This window comes from Homo sapiens, chromosome 13 (assembly GCF_000001405.40).
Source record: "Homo sapiens chromosome 13, GRCh38.p14 Primary Assembly".
Lineage (NCBI taxonomy): Eukaryota > Metazoa > Chordata > Mammalia > Primates > Hominidae > Homo > Homo sapiens.
The window spans coordinates 72,814,220-72,831,291 of NC_000013.11; the positions used below are offsets into that span (position 1 = coordinate 72,814,220).

The 17,072-nt window shown below is 35.6% G+C and overlaps 1 protein-coding gene across 16 annotated transcripts in view; it reads left to right on the forward strand.

Moving 5' to 3' along the window:
• The window catches only part of PIBF1 (progesterone immunomodulatory binding factor 1), a 234,329-nt gene that overhangs the window by 32,087 nt on the left and 185,170 nt on the right, over window positions 1–17,072 (forward strand). For 14 of the 16 annotated variants that reach the window (NM_001349655.2, XM_011534882.4, NM_006346.4 and 11 more), the window contains 3 exons: window positions 7,630–7,763; window positions 12,791–12,899; window positions 13,514–13,695. In NM_001349655.2, coding sequence (NP_001336584.1) covers window positions 7,630–7,763; window positions 12,791–12,899; window positions 13,514–13,695 — 425 coding nt within the window. Of the gene's footprint in view, window positions 1–7,629; window positions 7,764–12,790; window positions 12,900–13,513; window positions 13,719–17,072 lie in introns of all 16 variants that reach the window. The other 2 variants (NR_146205.2, NR_146206.2) reach the window with 1 other exon arrangement.

Below are 17,072 nucleotides of genomic sequence, written 5' to 3' on the forward strand. Positions count from 1 at the left end.
CTGAGGTCAGAAGTTCAAGACCAGCATGGCCAACATGGTGAACCTGTCTCTACTAAAAATACAAAAATTAGCCGGGCATAGTGGCAGGCATCTGTAATCCCAGCTACTCAGGAGGCTGAGGCAGTAGAATTGCTTGAACCCAGGAGGCGGAGGTTGCAGTGAGCCGAGATTGCGCCATTGCACTCCAGCCTAGGTGACAAAGCAAGACTTCGTCTCAAAAAAAAAAAAAAAAAGATTGAAAAATAATTACTTAAATAATTTTTAAGTAAAAAATTATATAATAAATTTTAAGTACAGATTATATAGTTTCTATTTTTTATCATAATTTAGTGAAACCAGAGATTAAAGATGAGGAGGAATAAACTTACTTGGCAATTAGAAACGTATCTTTTGGATTAAAGAGCAAAGAAAAACTGAAATAAAACAATGAAAATGAGAACATTTTTATATCAAAATTCTTAGACACATTTAAAGCTATGCCAAAGGAAAATCTGTAGCCGGAAATGCCTTTATTATTTAAAAAAAAAGATGAAAAATAAATACATGTAGTACTCATCTTGAGAAAGCTGGAAAAAGATGAGTAGAAATAAGGTGTTTGGAATTAACTGACATGAAGTAAGGGAAAATACATACAGTTCTATGGCAGTAAGCTTGAAAACAAAAAGGAAAGTGAACTGTGCCAACAAAATATAGATTACTAAAATTGACAGAAGTGAGAACTTGATTTAGAACAGTTACCATAGAGGTATTACAAAAATAAGTAAAAGTGTACAACTGATAAAATTACCAACAGGTTCACAGATAGATTACTGCAAATGGGTTCACAGTTGATTTAGAAAAAGACAGCTAGTTCCACTTACTTATACTATACCCACTATTGAAAAAGAAAGTTCTGAGAAAGAGACTACAAAAGCAAAATAAAACATTTAGGCCAATTTTGCTTATTACTACAGATGTAAAAATTTGAAATAAAATGTTAAATGAATTTTACCATTGTATCAAAAGAATAATACTTTATGATTAAACAGAGTATATTCCAGCACAGAAAGAATAATCCATTGCATCAGCAAATTCATGGAGAATAGCTTCATGAACACATTAACGTATCAGATGCAACAGCAATTAGTGTTGAACACTTAAGATTTTATCGCTTTCTTCATATGAGTTTGTTACCTTGTGAATGAAATATGTTCCCCCACCGTTCATCTCTAGCAAGAAAAGAAATTGATTCATTTGAAGAAAACTATAAAATCTTGGAACATGGAAGCATCGTACCTTAAGTAAGACAAGCTCATTAAAATAGCAATTTTTATGATTAACATATTAATCAAATGTAGTTCAGTTATAGTCTCCTTTTTTTCCTGATAATTTGCAGGGGTTGTTGGAGGGAGGAAGTGTGGTACAGGACTTTATCCTTTCCATCACCTGTGTTAATACTTTTTAATTGTTATTGATCTATATTTCCAGACAAGGTCTCAGTCTGTCATTCAGGCTGGAGTGCAGTGGCATGATCACACCTCACTGCAGCCTTGAAGTCCTAGGCTTAAGCCATTCTCCCACATCAGCCGCTTGAGTAGCTGGGAGTACAGGCATGCACCATCACACTGTTAATACTGTTAAGGCTTATCTCAATTATTCAAAAGGCATGAGAATCCATACTTTTCTTGCATTGATAAATTTGGGGGTTAATATGTGATACTTTTAAGATAATTTAGCAACTTGGTCTCTTTAACATTAAGATTCAAATTTGTTTGGTTCAATCATATTTGGGTCAATGCCTGTTGAGAAGCCAGTATTTCAAATTTGTTACAGTAGTTTGCTGAATAAAATGTTGGGTATAAAAATTGCCTCCTAATACATCAGTGTAGCATTTTGCAATGGTGGGGTCTGCTAGACCCATTAGCTAGTGGGTGATGTCTTAATACTAGTAATAGAGTGTTATACTACAATAATAACCACATAAAAATAAATGAGCCAATGAATCAGTTAGTATACACACTCTGCAGAAGCATCAGGTAAGTCCAGAAAAGTTGACTTGCTAGAGCAAAAAGTAGGAGAGACAGAATCTGAACCCATGTTTGTTATTCCAATCTAGGGTCCACCACATGTGATGAAAGTTACCTTTCCTCATTCTTGAGTTTTGCTGGGCATAGTGGCTCACGCCTGTAATCCCACTTTGGGAGGCTATAATCGCAGCACTTTTGGGGCTGAGGCGGGTGGATTCCTTGAGTCCAGGAGTTCAAGACTGCTCTGGACACCATGGCAAAACCCTTTCTCTACTAAAATACAAAAAACTAACTGAGCATGGTGGCATGCCTGTAGACCCAGCTACTTGGGAGGCTGAGGTGGGAGGATCATCTGAGGTCGGGAGGTTGAGGCTGCAGTGAGCCAAGATTGCACCACTGCACTCCAGCCTGGGCAACAGAGTGAGACCCTGTCTCAAAAAAAAAAAAAATTACTGAGTTATTTTTTTCTTTAAAAAAAAAAAAGCCTTAAGTTTTTATTTGAATTCACATGTATTCAAATAGATATAATTGAAAATTTAGCATGTAATAGAAATTATTAAGATTTTTGTTTTAATGCATAGCAGACTTTACCACTTCAGATTTTGTCTGTCTTTAGAATCAATTTTTTTTTTGAAAAATTTCTTGAAGATCTTAACAATGACAAGAGTTGTCTCTGGCAGCAAAACAGACTTCATTGTGGCTTATAAAGGGACAGCCTATAGCAGTCAAAGCTTAATTAGGTTTCTTGTTCTTTTCAGTATTTAGTTGCCTGGATTAGATTATTGATAATGTGAAACTTGTGGGAATTCTGACAAGTGAATTCTTAGTTTTCCAGAATAGCTAACCAACTATTTCTTACCATTCACTGAACTGCTGTCCAATGTAAACTGCTTCAGATTTGAACCTTAAGGTAAATGTCATTATATTCTATTTCCAATTTCCTTAGTTGTCCTCCACACAGACAGGAGTTGTTCATTTATTAAAGATTTATTTTGAAACATAGGTTGCTGCTTTTTTCTCAGTTTACATCATGGGAGAGACAAAAGACTTAAATGGAGTTTAGAAATTCATTACATCCATAGTAATTGCCTTTTATTGAGAACAGAAATTGAGGCTTGGCTATTATTATCCCATTTACTGTGATGTAGAAATTTTCTGTTAGTAAGGGCTGATGACTGGAAATTTTATGTGTCCATTTCTTTATGTTTGAAAAGTTTACTTTTTTTGCTTCTTTTGTTTTAGTCTATTTAATGTCCTCTTTTGTTCCTCCTCTTCCACAGACATTAATTGCAAACCTTCTATATAATAGGCAGAGTATTAGTTACTAGGATTACAGAAAACTTCCTTAGAGTTTTCCTTATGATGTGGGAGACAAGTAATGGCTGCCCACAGCACATGTGATACATTTTCTGACAGATAAGAATCAGGTGTTGTGAAAAAATAGGATAAACTCTAGGTTATTGCTGGAGCTTAGTCTTCCCACAAAGGTTGATGCTAAGCTCAAGACATGGAAGGATGCAGAGGAGAATACAAAATAGTCTTTTCTACTCTCTATAGCTTTAACAATGGTTCTACATAGTCATGGGGTTTATTTTGAGGGAAGATGCTATTTTTCCTGTTTCCAATGCTATGGCTTACTCTATTTTAATTGCTAACAATAAATGCAGGAGATTTTTAAATTCAAAATACGAAAGTAATAATTTCGTTTAAGGGGAAATTGTCCAATTGAAAAATTGTAAATAAAGTGCTGGTCGAATATGTGCATTCTTATACTGCACTTAGACTTGCTTCTGTTTATACTTGCATATGGTGTTTATATTTAAAGGAAATTTATAAATATATACATATATATACACTATGTATATAACATTAATAATATACTCTGTATATTTATTCTTCCATGGAACTACTCTCTGAATATCCTAAAATACTCTGCATATTTCAGAGTCAGATGATCTTTACCTTTTTAGATCTTTGCAGTTGCACTCACAGAAAACACTGCTTCTTTGGAACTCATCATCTGGATACCCCAACTTACAGTATTCTTCATTTGCAGACCACTGGGACATTCCTCTTTGTTTAATGAAAGCCTTGCTCTAGATTTAGTCTTCCTTTCCACTTCAGCTGCTACCTAGGTTACTTATGTGATTAATTCATCTATAGCCTTGGCCTTGAATTTTATTGATCTCATCTCTAGTGATTGCCTTTTCTCCATTTTAACACTCAGTCTTATAGCCCACATTTGGTTCCTTGCCATCCAGAACTGATTTACTTCTGAAGTTACCAATTCACTTTCATCCACTAAACATCTTATTTCCTATATTTTTTATGTTTTACCATTGTCTGCTTTCAACTTGTCTTTAACAGAATTTCCAATCCATATAATTTGTTTCTTTATCAATCCTTTCCTAAATTTATTTTCTTCCCTTGCCACCATGTTATCAGTCTTAAACTTTTTTTTTTTTTTTTTTTTTTGCCAGTATCATCTAATTCCTCTCCCAGCTTTCTTTTTATCAAACCAGACTGAAAAACTCTCAACTCTTTATTTTTCTAGCTGAGCACTACTGGCAAAAATCACACAAGCAGTAACAAGCACTGTCAGTTTATTGTTATCAGCCTCAAATGGACCCACACAATTGGTCGTAATTCTATTATTTCTAGTTCTCTCATTTTTCGCAGAGATTACTTAAGGCAACCAGCCACTCTTCTTACATCTCCAGTTTTCCACGTTTCTTGTCGCATTCAGCAGATGACTTGGTATTTCATTTCACAGAGAAAATGGAAATCTTCAGATGAGAACTCCCACAGTGTCCTTCCAACAAATCTACTCACATCTGCACTCATTCTGGTTTGTTTGTTCTTAGTGTTTATAATGGAAAGAGTCTCGCCCTCAAGGGATGGGAAAATCATATGCCTCTAGAAACCAGGTGGATAATATAAATTTGTGAAGCCGTAGGGTAAGATTAGGCTGTGGCCTGTAGCAAATTGATAAGAGCTATCTAAATTATTCAAGTTGTTAATACTCTGTATCAGCTGGAAAAAAGCCTGCCTTGATGAACATGGCCTCTGATCTAAGACTAATCTGCACATCTAAGCTGTGGATCCCATCTCCTAAAGCCCTTTTCAGGAGTATGCTTCATTCCCCTGAGTATGCCCCCTTTTCTCCAACAGTAATTCATCTTTTGCTGTTGTTTCTCACCAATATTTGAATATTGTCAAGCTTGTTTCATTTTTTAAAACCTTCATTGGCCCTGTTTTCTTCTCTAGCTACTATACTTTCTCCACTTTTACTATTAAACTGTAGAAAGAGTTGCCGACTGATTTGGATTTGACAAACTTAGATTGGAGTCCTCACTCTACTACTTACGAGCTCTGAGACTTTCCAAGCCTCAGTTTTTTTCATCTGTGAAACTGGGGATAATTTTTAGATCCCATCATAAGTGTTAAGTCGACAATGTATATAAAATAGCCAAAAAAGAGGACATACTGAGTATTTAGATATATTTGTTTTAGTCCCTAACACTCTACCTTCTGCCCCTACCGCTAAATACTTTAAAGGCTTTTTGTTGGTTCTCGGTAATATTTCTTAGTACCAATCAGTAGTGTTTCTCAATATTATTGACTGCTTCAAAGCACTGTCTTCCACTGTTTTTCCTGACACACACCCCTGGTTTACCCATTGTTTCTGCGAATACTCCTTTGGGTTTTTTGGGATCCCTGTTTTTTGCCCATCCTTTAATGTTTATATTCCTTGTATTTATGTTCCTCCAAATTCTGTCATGGCGTTTGCACAGTTATTAAGCTGTTAATTTGGCTATGATCTCTTTGGAAGCCAAAGCAAAGAGGAAGCATTATAACAATATTAATTTATAGTTAATCAGCATTTACTACGTTAGACATTTTTATAAGCACTTTACATGTATTACTTGATATATGCTTCACAAGAACTCTGAGGTAGGACACCAGAATAGAGAGGTAAACTAACGTGCACAGAGTCTTACTGCAGGAATTCAGTTTTAGACAGTTGAATTCTGGAGCTTGCCTTCCTAGCCATAACACTATACTCTCTTCCAAAACAGTGACATGATTAATGATGTTTAGAAGGATAAAGCATTCTTCAGAAGAACTAAAGATTCTTGTAGGACTTAGGTCCGAAATGATATATGTGATGATCTTTCGGGAGGTGATAGCGTATCCTCAGCTGTAATCCCATAATAAGTACCATAGTAACATTCCATTCTCATGGAAAACTTCAGCGTAGAACAAGAACATAATACCATACCAAAGCAAAACACACTGAATGTAGTTTTTCCATAATTACTTCTCTCAAATAGCCCTTTGATAGAAATTTGGGGACTAAAATAATCAAAGTTACATTTAGTAGTTTAAAAAGGACAAAATCGTCTTACTCATCTTTGTATCTGTAGTGCCTAATCCGTGACCAGTCACACAGAAATGATCCAGTCAGTATGTGTGGAGTGAACATGACCTCATTTAGCTGGCCAGCTACTTAAGCAGTAATGACTTAACACAGGATGCATTTAACATGCCAGCTTCTGAAGGTGGAGTTGATGATTGGTTGCAAGATTTGATGAGTTCAAAGAAGGAAAATAAGTAGGAATTTAGTCCCGTCTGCTTCCCCTCCCAGCTTCCCATATTTAATCATTTCTTTTTTAGCTTTTATTTAATTCTTATTATATACCTGGCAGTGTTTAAAGTGGTGGAGGTCCAGCGTTGAGCAAGACAAAATCCCCACCCTTAAGATGTTTACACTCTGGTGAGATAAAGAGAAAACTAATGTGATGGTAATGATACAGTGAGATCAGTGCTCTGAAGGAGACAAGCATTTAGATTATATGCAGGTATTCAGGCAGTGGGAACAGGTTAGAAGCAGCATTAGTGGGTTCAGACAATTTCAGATCTCCATTAGGGTTGGAGGGTGAAGTGTGAATGTTAGGAATGGTGAGAAATGGGGCTTGTAGGAAGCAGCACCAGATTGTAAAGAACCTTGTGACCAACTTTAAGGTTTTTACTTCCATTGCTCTTCCCATATCAGCAATGCCTTTCTTAACATGCTACTGACATGGGGAGAGTAGAGGGAAGAACAATGTAAAGATGTGTTTCGAGGGTCACACGATTCCTTTTTTTCTGAGTAACACAATTGGAACTGCATGTTTAATCTCTTCATTAATTATTTTTCATTGTAGATACTGATATCCATATGACTTTTCATCTCTAAACTGTAAAATCCTCAAGAACAGGAAGTGTGTTTTATTCACTTCTGTATCTTCAGCATCTGATAGTAACTCAGTAAATGTTTTTAAAAAGTCATTTAACATTTGTAGTCATTTTATGTTTTAGCCTAGTAACTAAAACATAGTTGTTGTGTTATTTATTTGAAAAACAGTTTAAGTTTTAAACAACTGAGTTTACAGACCACTCTGTGAACTTAAGATTACTTGCCTTTGAATAGGGAAAAATTACTAAATTTAAAAATTGAGGAATTTTTTTTACTGTTTAATTACAAGGACAATCACAGCTTAACAGAAGACTTCAATACAGAATTTGGGCAACTATGTTAAGTGTTTAGTCTGAAATGTGTTATTATTCCTTTGGTTTATAGACATATGAGGAAGATCGAAAAAACTACTCTGAAGTTCAAATTAGATGTCAACGTTTGGCCTTAGAATTAGCAGACACAAAACAGTTAATTCAGCAAGGTGACTACCGTCAAGAGAACTATGATAAAGTCAAGAGGTAAGTAGTTAAAATGGCTGCAGTAGTAGTTCTCTATTTTTAGGGTGCATCAAAGTCACCTGAGTTTTTACCAACAATCAGTTGTTAATTTTACTTTTACCTTATTCTTCTTTGCACAAATGCATGCAGTTTTGGCAGTTTGTTGGGTTTATATTGTATTTTTATATTGGTTGTTTTTGTTTTATTTAGATGTCACTGCTGTCTTAAAATGTAAACAGAGATAGAAACCCAGTAAAATCACACGTGTGTAAATATTTTTTCAGTGTTATTTGATGATTATTTTTATGTAGTGGAATCAATTTAAATACTTAACAGTTTTCCCTGAAGTTTTTTTCAGCTGTTTCTTCCTGACAAAAGACACACACTCTTTCAAAAAAAAAATGACACTTTCTGAAAATATGTTTCCTAATATTTGCTACTTATAGCAAATACCTTTTTTTAACTGGAATATTCTTTTCTGTTGTTTGTTCAGTAATTTAATGAGCTGCTACTTAGCTGTATGTCCCTCAGTACATCTCTTTTCATTCTGAGCCTAAGTTTCATCATTTATGAGATGTTGCTAATACGGATAACTGCACTATATAAACTAAGATCAAATAAATATGAAAGCCTTTAAATATATATGTACTGCATATGTAATATAAATGGAATGACCTTATCTTAATTGTTCACTCCACTTGAAATAATTCTTAAAATGTAGTAGTCAGTGAATATTTGTTAAATGAATGAATGATTTAAATTGTGTAATTTAAATTACAAATTGCATAATACCGTATGTGAATTTGCAAAGATTTGTGGATAGAAGATTGTCATTTCTACTCCCATTATGACTGACACATGGTATTTCTTATGTATATGGCATTATGCCAAAATATGATAATTATTGGAGCTTTAAATCCATGAGAGCTGTGCTCAGTGGGCTCTGGAATAAAGCTGGAGTTCAAAAGAAGCATTTAAAAATGAAGTAGAGGGCATAGTGGCACATGCCTTTAGTCCCAGCTACTTGGGAGATTGAGGTGGGAGGACTGCTTAAGCCCAGGAATTCGAGGCTGCAGTGAACTATGATCATGCCACTGCACTCCAGCCTGGTGGCAGAGTGAAACTTCATCTCTTAAAAATATAAAATAAAAAAGAATAAAAATGAAATAGATTATGATGCTAAGATGATACCAGTTGGTATTTTCATGTCCCCTCTGCCACTATCAGTCTATAGCAATGACAGATACAATATAAAAAGAGAAAACTAAAAAGCACAGTCATCAGAATAATCCATCGGGGCCACGGATGATCATTGAAACAAGATGAGTCATGAGTTGATAATTACTGAATTTGGGTGATGGGAGCATGGGTGTTCATTATATCACCTCTATTTTTACATATGTTTTCATTTACTATAATAAAAACCTAGGAAAGAAAAATATAACCTTGATCAAAAAGCATGATAAGCATCTTTATGGTAGAAATGGAATAGTAAAACAAGAAAGGACTCAAACTATGACCCTTTTTAGTTCACTCAGCAGAATGAATGAGTTTAAAAACATCGGTCATAAAATATAAGATAAACTGGGGAAGAAAAAAAAGCCCTTTTATGCCCCGGGTAAATTCTCACAAATGTACAAAAGGAAACAGGTGTATGGATGTTAATTGTGTCATTATTAAAAGAAATTCAAATGCTTTTCAGTAGCAGAATGGAAAATAAATTGAGATTTACTCTGCAATATAATTTTATGTAGCAGTTAAAATCATTAAATTAGATCTGAATGTATCACTTTTTTTTACTAAAAGTTCCTTATTTTCTGGCATAACATAATGTTCCTAGTTTTGGTTTTCGTTTGTTGGTTTTGTAATTTCATTGCCTCAGCTCTTTGTCTAAGAAGTCTTGATCTCTTAGTGGGGAATGCTATTTAGAAATTTAGGATTTGGGTGCTATGGTCATGGCTACATTGGTCATTATTTCTAGGCCCTTTGAGTAGGCAGAGAAAGTAGAGGGAGAATGAGGAGGAGGCTTAACACACTATGGATGAGATCATACTGATACTTCTTTTTTTTGAGACAGAGTCTCACTTTGTCACCCAGGCTGGAGTGCAATGGCACGATCTCGGCTCACTGCAACCTCTGCCTCCCAGGTTCAAACAATTCTCCTGCCTCAGCCTCCCAAGTAGCTGGGACTACAGGTGTGCGCCACCATGCCCAGCTAATTTTTTTTTTTTTTTTTAAGTAGAGACATGGTTCCATGGTTGACCAGACTGGCCTTGAACTCCTGACCTCAGGTGATCTGCCCACCTTGGCCTCCCAAAGTGCTGAGATGACAGGTGTGAGCCTCTGCACCCAGCCCACGTTGATACTTCTAATTCCAATTCAACACTGCAACAGCCACTTGGATGAGGTGCCAACTGGCTAAATATAGCAAACTTGAATATCACAATAAATATTGGCAATAATGAATTACAGTCCATTGAATAGAATAAGAGTTTATAAGTGCAGGCTAATAATAAATACAGAAAGAGGATCTTAAAATTTTTTTAATACATCATCTTTACCATTTTTAAGTGTACAGTTCAGTGGTAATAAATATATCCTTTTTGGGAAAGAGGATCTTTATGGTTGAAATCCAAGCAATAAATGTATATGCATGTAAGAATGACCATTTTGTAGCCGCATAATAATATTGATTCAGAATCATCATTGGAATATAAAACCATGAAGTATAAGTATGTTAGGGAATAGGATATTTACACAAAGCATCTCTTCACAATTACTTACTAATTTTAAAGGGCAAAAGGATACCTTTATAGTTAAACTCTGGCAGATGCTACCTTAACCTAGTGATCAAAGTTACTATCACCAATAATGGGATAAACTGACGTCACATACCTCAGTACATCTTCACATAACATACTGAGAATGCGTTTCTGTATCAGAGAATCATTTCTGAGAATCATTTCTGTAGTATTCCTGCCCAAGTGCCTAACCTGAATCTAATAATGAAGAAACTTCAGACAAGTGAAAATTGAGGAGCATTCTATGATGCAGCTAGCCTCTGCTCTATAAAAAGTCATAAAACACAAGGAAAACTAAGAAATCTTCAAGGTTAAAGGAGACTAAAACCCCATGACATCTAGATGCATGGTAATAGATTATAATATGATGATAATAGATCCTTGGATTACCATTATGGTAATAGAGCCTTGGCTCAGGGAAAAAAAAATTCACAAAGGGTGTTTTGGGAGACAGTTGACAAAATTTGAAAATGGATTGTATGTTAGATAATATTATATTAGGGCTAAGTCTCCTGAATATGATAATTATACTGTGATTATATAAGAGACTATCTTTAATCTTAGTAAATTCACACTAATTATTTAGGGATAAAGGGACCTAATGTCTCAGTTGAGGAAACAAATGCACATGTATGAGTATGTGTGTGTAGGTGTGTATACACATATAGATACATGACCCTTGACCAACATGGGGTCCACTTATATTCAGGTTTTTATCAACCTAACACCAATCGAAAATACAATTTTCACGGGATGTGAAACCTGAGTATACAGAGGACTGACTGTTTGGTGGGATCTGCAACAACTGCAGGACTTCAGCATGTACAGATTTGCATATTCAGGTTGTGGGGGTGGGTCTGGAACCCATTCTCCACATATACCGTTAAGACACCTGCATATATTCACATATATTAACAAGAGAGAGGGTTTGAATAAATATGACAAAGTAATATTTATTTAATATTACAAAACAAATACAACAGTGTTAATGATTGGTAAGTAAAAGCATTAAAAAGAACCAAGCTGGTTACAGCGTGTCATGTCTGTAATCCTAGTGCTTTCAGAAGCACAGGCAGGAGGATCACTTGAGCCCAGGACTTTAAGACTAGCCAGGGCAATATAGCAAGACCGTCTTTACAAAAAAAAAAAAAAAATTAAATTAGGCACATGGTGGCATGCACCTGTAGTCCTAACTCTCTGGCAGGCTGAGGCTGGAGGATCACTTGAGTGCAGTAGTTCAAGTCCAGTCTGGGTGACATAGCAAGACCCCCATCTCATAAAAAAAAAAAAAAATTTAAAAAAAAGATTTTTTAAAAAATTGCATGTGAAAGCACAAAATAAAATTTAAAAATTTTTTTAATTAAAAATAATCTAAACATTCTAAAAATAAAAAAGCACAAAATACGTATAGTAATATGTATCAGAATAGTAATACTGATAGTCATCTTTACTTATTGGGTTTGTAGGTGATTGTTATTTTGTGCTTTGCTCAGTTTTTCTTCAATAAACATAATATTTTGTTAACTAGAAGAAAAAAGGCTTTCTAAACGTTTTTGAAAAACTGATGCAAAGGAAAACAATTCCTAACAGCCCTCTCTGTGGAAATACCAGGTGGGTCAGTGAAATAAAGTGCAAAGGCACTGCTTCTGACTGCAGGGAAGTAGTTAAGAGTTAGTAAATCTGTTTCTCTGCTCATTTTAAAAAATGTGTGTTGTAGGTTTTAGTCCAATTCTTGGTATAACTTTTTTGGGGAACTTGTCTTAAAATGGAAATTAAAATCTGGGTAATCATAAACAATTTGTGAATGAAATAGTCACAAGAATGCCTGCCTACGTATCTACTATGCAATCTAAATGATAAGTTGTATTTTTTTTTTTACCTTAACTGAACTGAAAGCCTAGAGCCATGTATACATTCTTTAAAAGTTTTAACCTCAAGATAAGATTGAAGATGACTAATGAAAAAATACCAAATGTATGTTAGTAAGTTTTATTATTTACTGTACTGGCTTATGTAGTTTGTATATTCCTTAAAGGTAATAAATTGATATGTATGTATTTGAACAAGGTCTGAAACAGAGTCCCTTCTAAATCTGAAAAGTAGGTACTTTATAGTTCATGGAATTACACTGAAGCCCCATTGCTAGTGTCTCTATTCAGCGTCCTAATACATAGTCAACCCTTTTAAAGTGTACGCTGTACAAGGGGATGTAAAATTTACATGTCTCTTTGAATTTTATTTTAACAGTGAACGTGATGCACTTGAACAGGAAGTAATTGAGCTTAGGAGAAAACATGAAATACTTGAAGCCTCTCACATGATTCAAACAAAAGAACGAAGTGAATTATCAAAAGAGGTAAGCTTATAATTAGAGTCACTTATATTATATAGCATAGTATTAGTGAAAAAAATAGCCCAGAGTAGATTTGAAGGAGAGACATTTTTTTTGTTATGTAGTTCCTCCCAAAAAGATAAATTTTTTTTTTTTTTTTTTTTTTTTTTTGAGACAGGAGTCTTTCCCTGTTGACCAGGCTATAGTGCAGTGGTGCGATCTTGGCTCACTGCAACTTCCGCCTCCCAGGTTCAAACGATTCTCCTGCCTCAGCCTCCTGAATAGCTGGGATTACAGGCGTGTGCCACCATGCCCTACTAATTTTTACATTTTTAGTAGAAACAGGGTTTCACCATGTTGGCCAGGCTGGTCGCAAACTCCTGACCTCAAATGATCCACCTGCCTTGGCCTCCCAAAGTGCTGGGATTACAGGTGTGAGCAACCATGCCCAGCCCCAAAAAGAGACTTTTAGTAGCTATTTTTAGATTTTAAAAAAGTTGCATGCTAAGAATTAGCCCTTTTTAAAAGGAAAATTTTCATGTGGTGAATGAAAACATGAAGGAAAGAAATTAATACAGTCAAGCTTGAAAAGTAAGATGGCATCACTGTGGATACTTTTTGTTTCTACATGTATGTAGGTAGTCACCTTAGAGCAAACTGTTACTTTACTGCAAAAGGATAAAGAATATCTTAATCGCCAAAACATGGAGCTTAGTGTTCGCTGTGCTCATGAAGAGGATCGCCTTGAAAGACTTCAAGCTCAACTGGAAGAAAGCAAAAAGGCTAGAGAAGAGATGTATGAAAAATATGTAGCATCCAGGCAAGATTTGCATTATTTCCCACGTAAATAGATACCAATTAACAGATTTTCTTTGAGGGAACTCTTGGCTTTGGGGAAGATTTAGTGATTTTTTTAAGGTCTATTCTATATGATAATACTAAGATAATACCTTATTTTATTTTATTTTATTTTATTTTTTGATTTTGACATTTCTGCTTTCTGTTTGCATACATTTAAGTGGTGTAATTTTCCCATGTGCCTTTATTTTAAAACTTTGTCATTTGGTTTTAGGTACGTTTCTTGAATACAGTAATGAGCTGATGTATCCATTAGGATAATTTGGGTTGCAAATAATGCAGAAGGGTTTAAAAAATGAAGTGAGATATGTTTGCTTTTTTTTTTTTTTTTTTATAAATTATACTTTACGTTCTGGGGTACATGTGCAGAATATGCAGTTTTGTTACATAGGTATACACATGCCATGGTGGTTTGCTGCACCCATCAACCCGTCACCTACATTAGATATTTCTCCTAATGTTATCCCTCCCCTAGCCCCCCACTCCCCGACAGGCGCCGGTGTGTGATGTTCCCCTCCCTGTGTCCACGTGTTCTCATTGTTCAACTCCCGCTTATGAGTGAGAACATACGGTGTTTGGTTTTCTGTTCTTGTGATAGTTTGCTGAGAATGATGGTTTCCAGCTTCATCCATGTCCCTGCAAAGGACATGAACTCATCCTTTTTAATGGCTGCATAGCATATATATTCCATGGTACATATGTGCCACATTTTCTCTATCCAGTCTGTTATTGAAGGACATTTGGGTCGGTTCCAAGTCTTTGCTATTGTGAACAGTGCTGCAGTAAACATACGTGTGCATGTGTCTTTTATGTTAGAATGATTTATAATCCTTTGGATATATACCCAGTAATGGGATTGCTGGGTCAAATGGTATTTCTAGTTCTAGATCCTTGAGGAATTGCCACACTGTCTTCCACAATGGTTGAACTAATTTACACTCCCACCAACACTGTAAAAGCATTCCTATTTCTCCACATCCTCTCCAGCTTGTTGTTTCCTGACTTTTTAATGATTGCCAGTCTAACTGGCGTGAGATGGTATCTCATTGTGGTTTTGATTTGCATTTCTTTAATGACCAGTGATGATGAGCATTTGTTCATATATCTGTTGGCTGCATAAATGTCTTCTTTTGAGAAGTGTCTATATCCTTTGCCCACTTTTTGATGGGGTTGTTTGGTTTTTTCTTGTAAATTTGTTTAAGTTCTTTGTAGATTCTGGATATTAGCCCTTTGTCAGATGGATAGATTGCAAAAATTTTCTCCTGTTCTGGAGTTTGCCTATCCACCCTAATGATAGTTTCTTTTGCTGTGCAGAAGCTCTTTAGTTTAATTAGATTCCATTTGTCAATTTTGGCTTTTGCTGCCATTGCTTTTGGTGTTTTAGACATGAAGTCTTTGCCCATGCCTACATCCTGAATGATATTGCCCAGGTTTTCTTGTAGGATTTTTATGATCCTAGGTCTTACATTTAAGTCTTTGATTCATCTTGAGTTGATTTTTGTATAAGGTATAAGGAAGGGGTCCAGTTTCAGTTTTCTGCATATGGCTACCTAGTTTTCCAAACAACATTTATTAAATAGGGAATCTTTTCCCCATTGCTTGTTTGTGTCAGGTTTGTCAAAGATCAGATGGTTGTAGATGTGTGGTGTTATTTCTGAGGCCTCTGTTCTGTTCCATTGGTCTATGTATCTGTTTTGGTACCAGTACTGTGCTGTTTTTATTACTGTAGCCTTGTAGTATAGTTTGAAGTCAGGTAGCATGATGCCTCCAGCTTTCTTCTTCTTGCCCAGAATTGTCTTGGCTATGTGGGCTCTTTTTTGGTTCCATATGAAGTTTAAAGTAGTTTTTTCCAATTCCGTGAAGAAGGTCAGTGGTAGCTTGATGGGGGTAGCATTGAATGTATAAATTACTTTGGGCAGTATGGCCATTTTCACGATATTGAATCTTCCTATCCGTGAGCATGGAATGTTTTTCCATTTGTTTATGTCCTCGCTTATTTCTTTGAGCAGTGGTTTGTAGTTCTCCTTGAAGAGGTCCTTCACATCCCTTGTAAGTTATATTCCTAGATATTTTATTCTCTTAGTAGCAGTTGTGAATGGGAGTTCACTCATGATTTGGCTCTTTGTCTGTCATTGGTGTGCAGGAATGCTTGTGATTTTTGCACATCAATTTTGTATCCTGAGACTTTGCTGAAGTTGCTTATCAGCTTAAGGAGATTTTGGGCTGAGACAATGGGGTTTTCTAAATATACAATCATGTCATCAACGAACTGAGACAATTTGACTTTCTCTCTTCCTAGTTGAATACTCTTTATTTCTTTCTCTTTCCTGATTGCCCTGGCCAGAACTTCCAATACCATGTTGAATAGGAGGGGTGAGAGAGGGCATCCTTGTCTTGTGCCAGTTTTCAAAGGGAACGCTTCCAGTTTTTGCCTGTTTAGTATGATATTGGCTGTGGGTTTGTCATAACTAGCTCTTATTATTTTGAGATACGTTCCATCAATACCCAGTTTATTGAGAGTTTTTAGCATGAAGGGGTGTTGAATTTTGTCAAAGGCCTTTTCTTCATCTATTGAGATAATCGTGGTTTTTGTGATTGGTTCTGTTTATGTGATGGATTACGTTTATTGATTTGTATGTGTTGAACCAGCCTTGCCTCCCTGGTATGAAGCCAACTTGATCATGGTGGATAAGCTTTTTCATGTGCTGCTGGATTTGGTTTGCCAGTATTTTATTGAGGATTTTTACATTGATGTTCATCAGGGATATTGGCCTGAAATTTTGTTTTTTTGTTGTGTGTCTGCCAGGTTTTGGTATTAGGATGATGCTGGCCTCATAAAATGAGTTAGGGAGGACCTCTTTTTCTGTTGTTTGGAATAGTTTCAGAAGGAATGGTACCAGCTCCTCTTTGTACCTCTGGTAGAATTCAGCTGGGAATCCATCTCATCCTGGATTTTTTTTTGGTTGGTAGGCTATTACTGCCTCAATTTCAGAACTTGTTATTGGTTTATTCAGGGATTCGACTTCTTCCTGGTTTAGACTTGGGAGGGTGTATGTCCAGGAATTTATCCATTTCTTTTAGATTTTCTAGCTTATTTGCATAGAGGTGTTTATAGTATTCTCTGATGGTAGTTTTTATTTCTGTGGGATCGTTGGTGAGCTCCCCTTTATCATTTTTTATTGTGTCTGTTTGGTTCTTCCTCTCTTCTTTATTAGTCTGGCTAGCAGTCTATCTATTTTGTTGATCTTTACAAAAAAAAACAGCTCCTGGATTCATTGATTTTTTGAAGGGTTTTTTGTGTTTCTGTCTCCTTCAGTTCTGCTCTGATCTTAATTATTT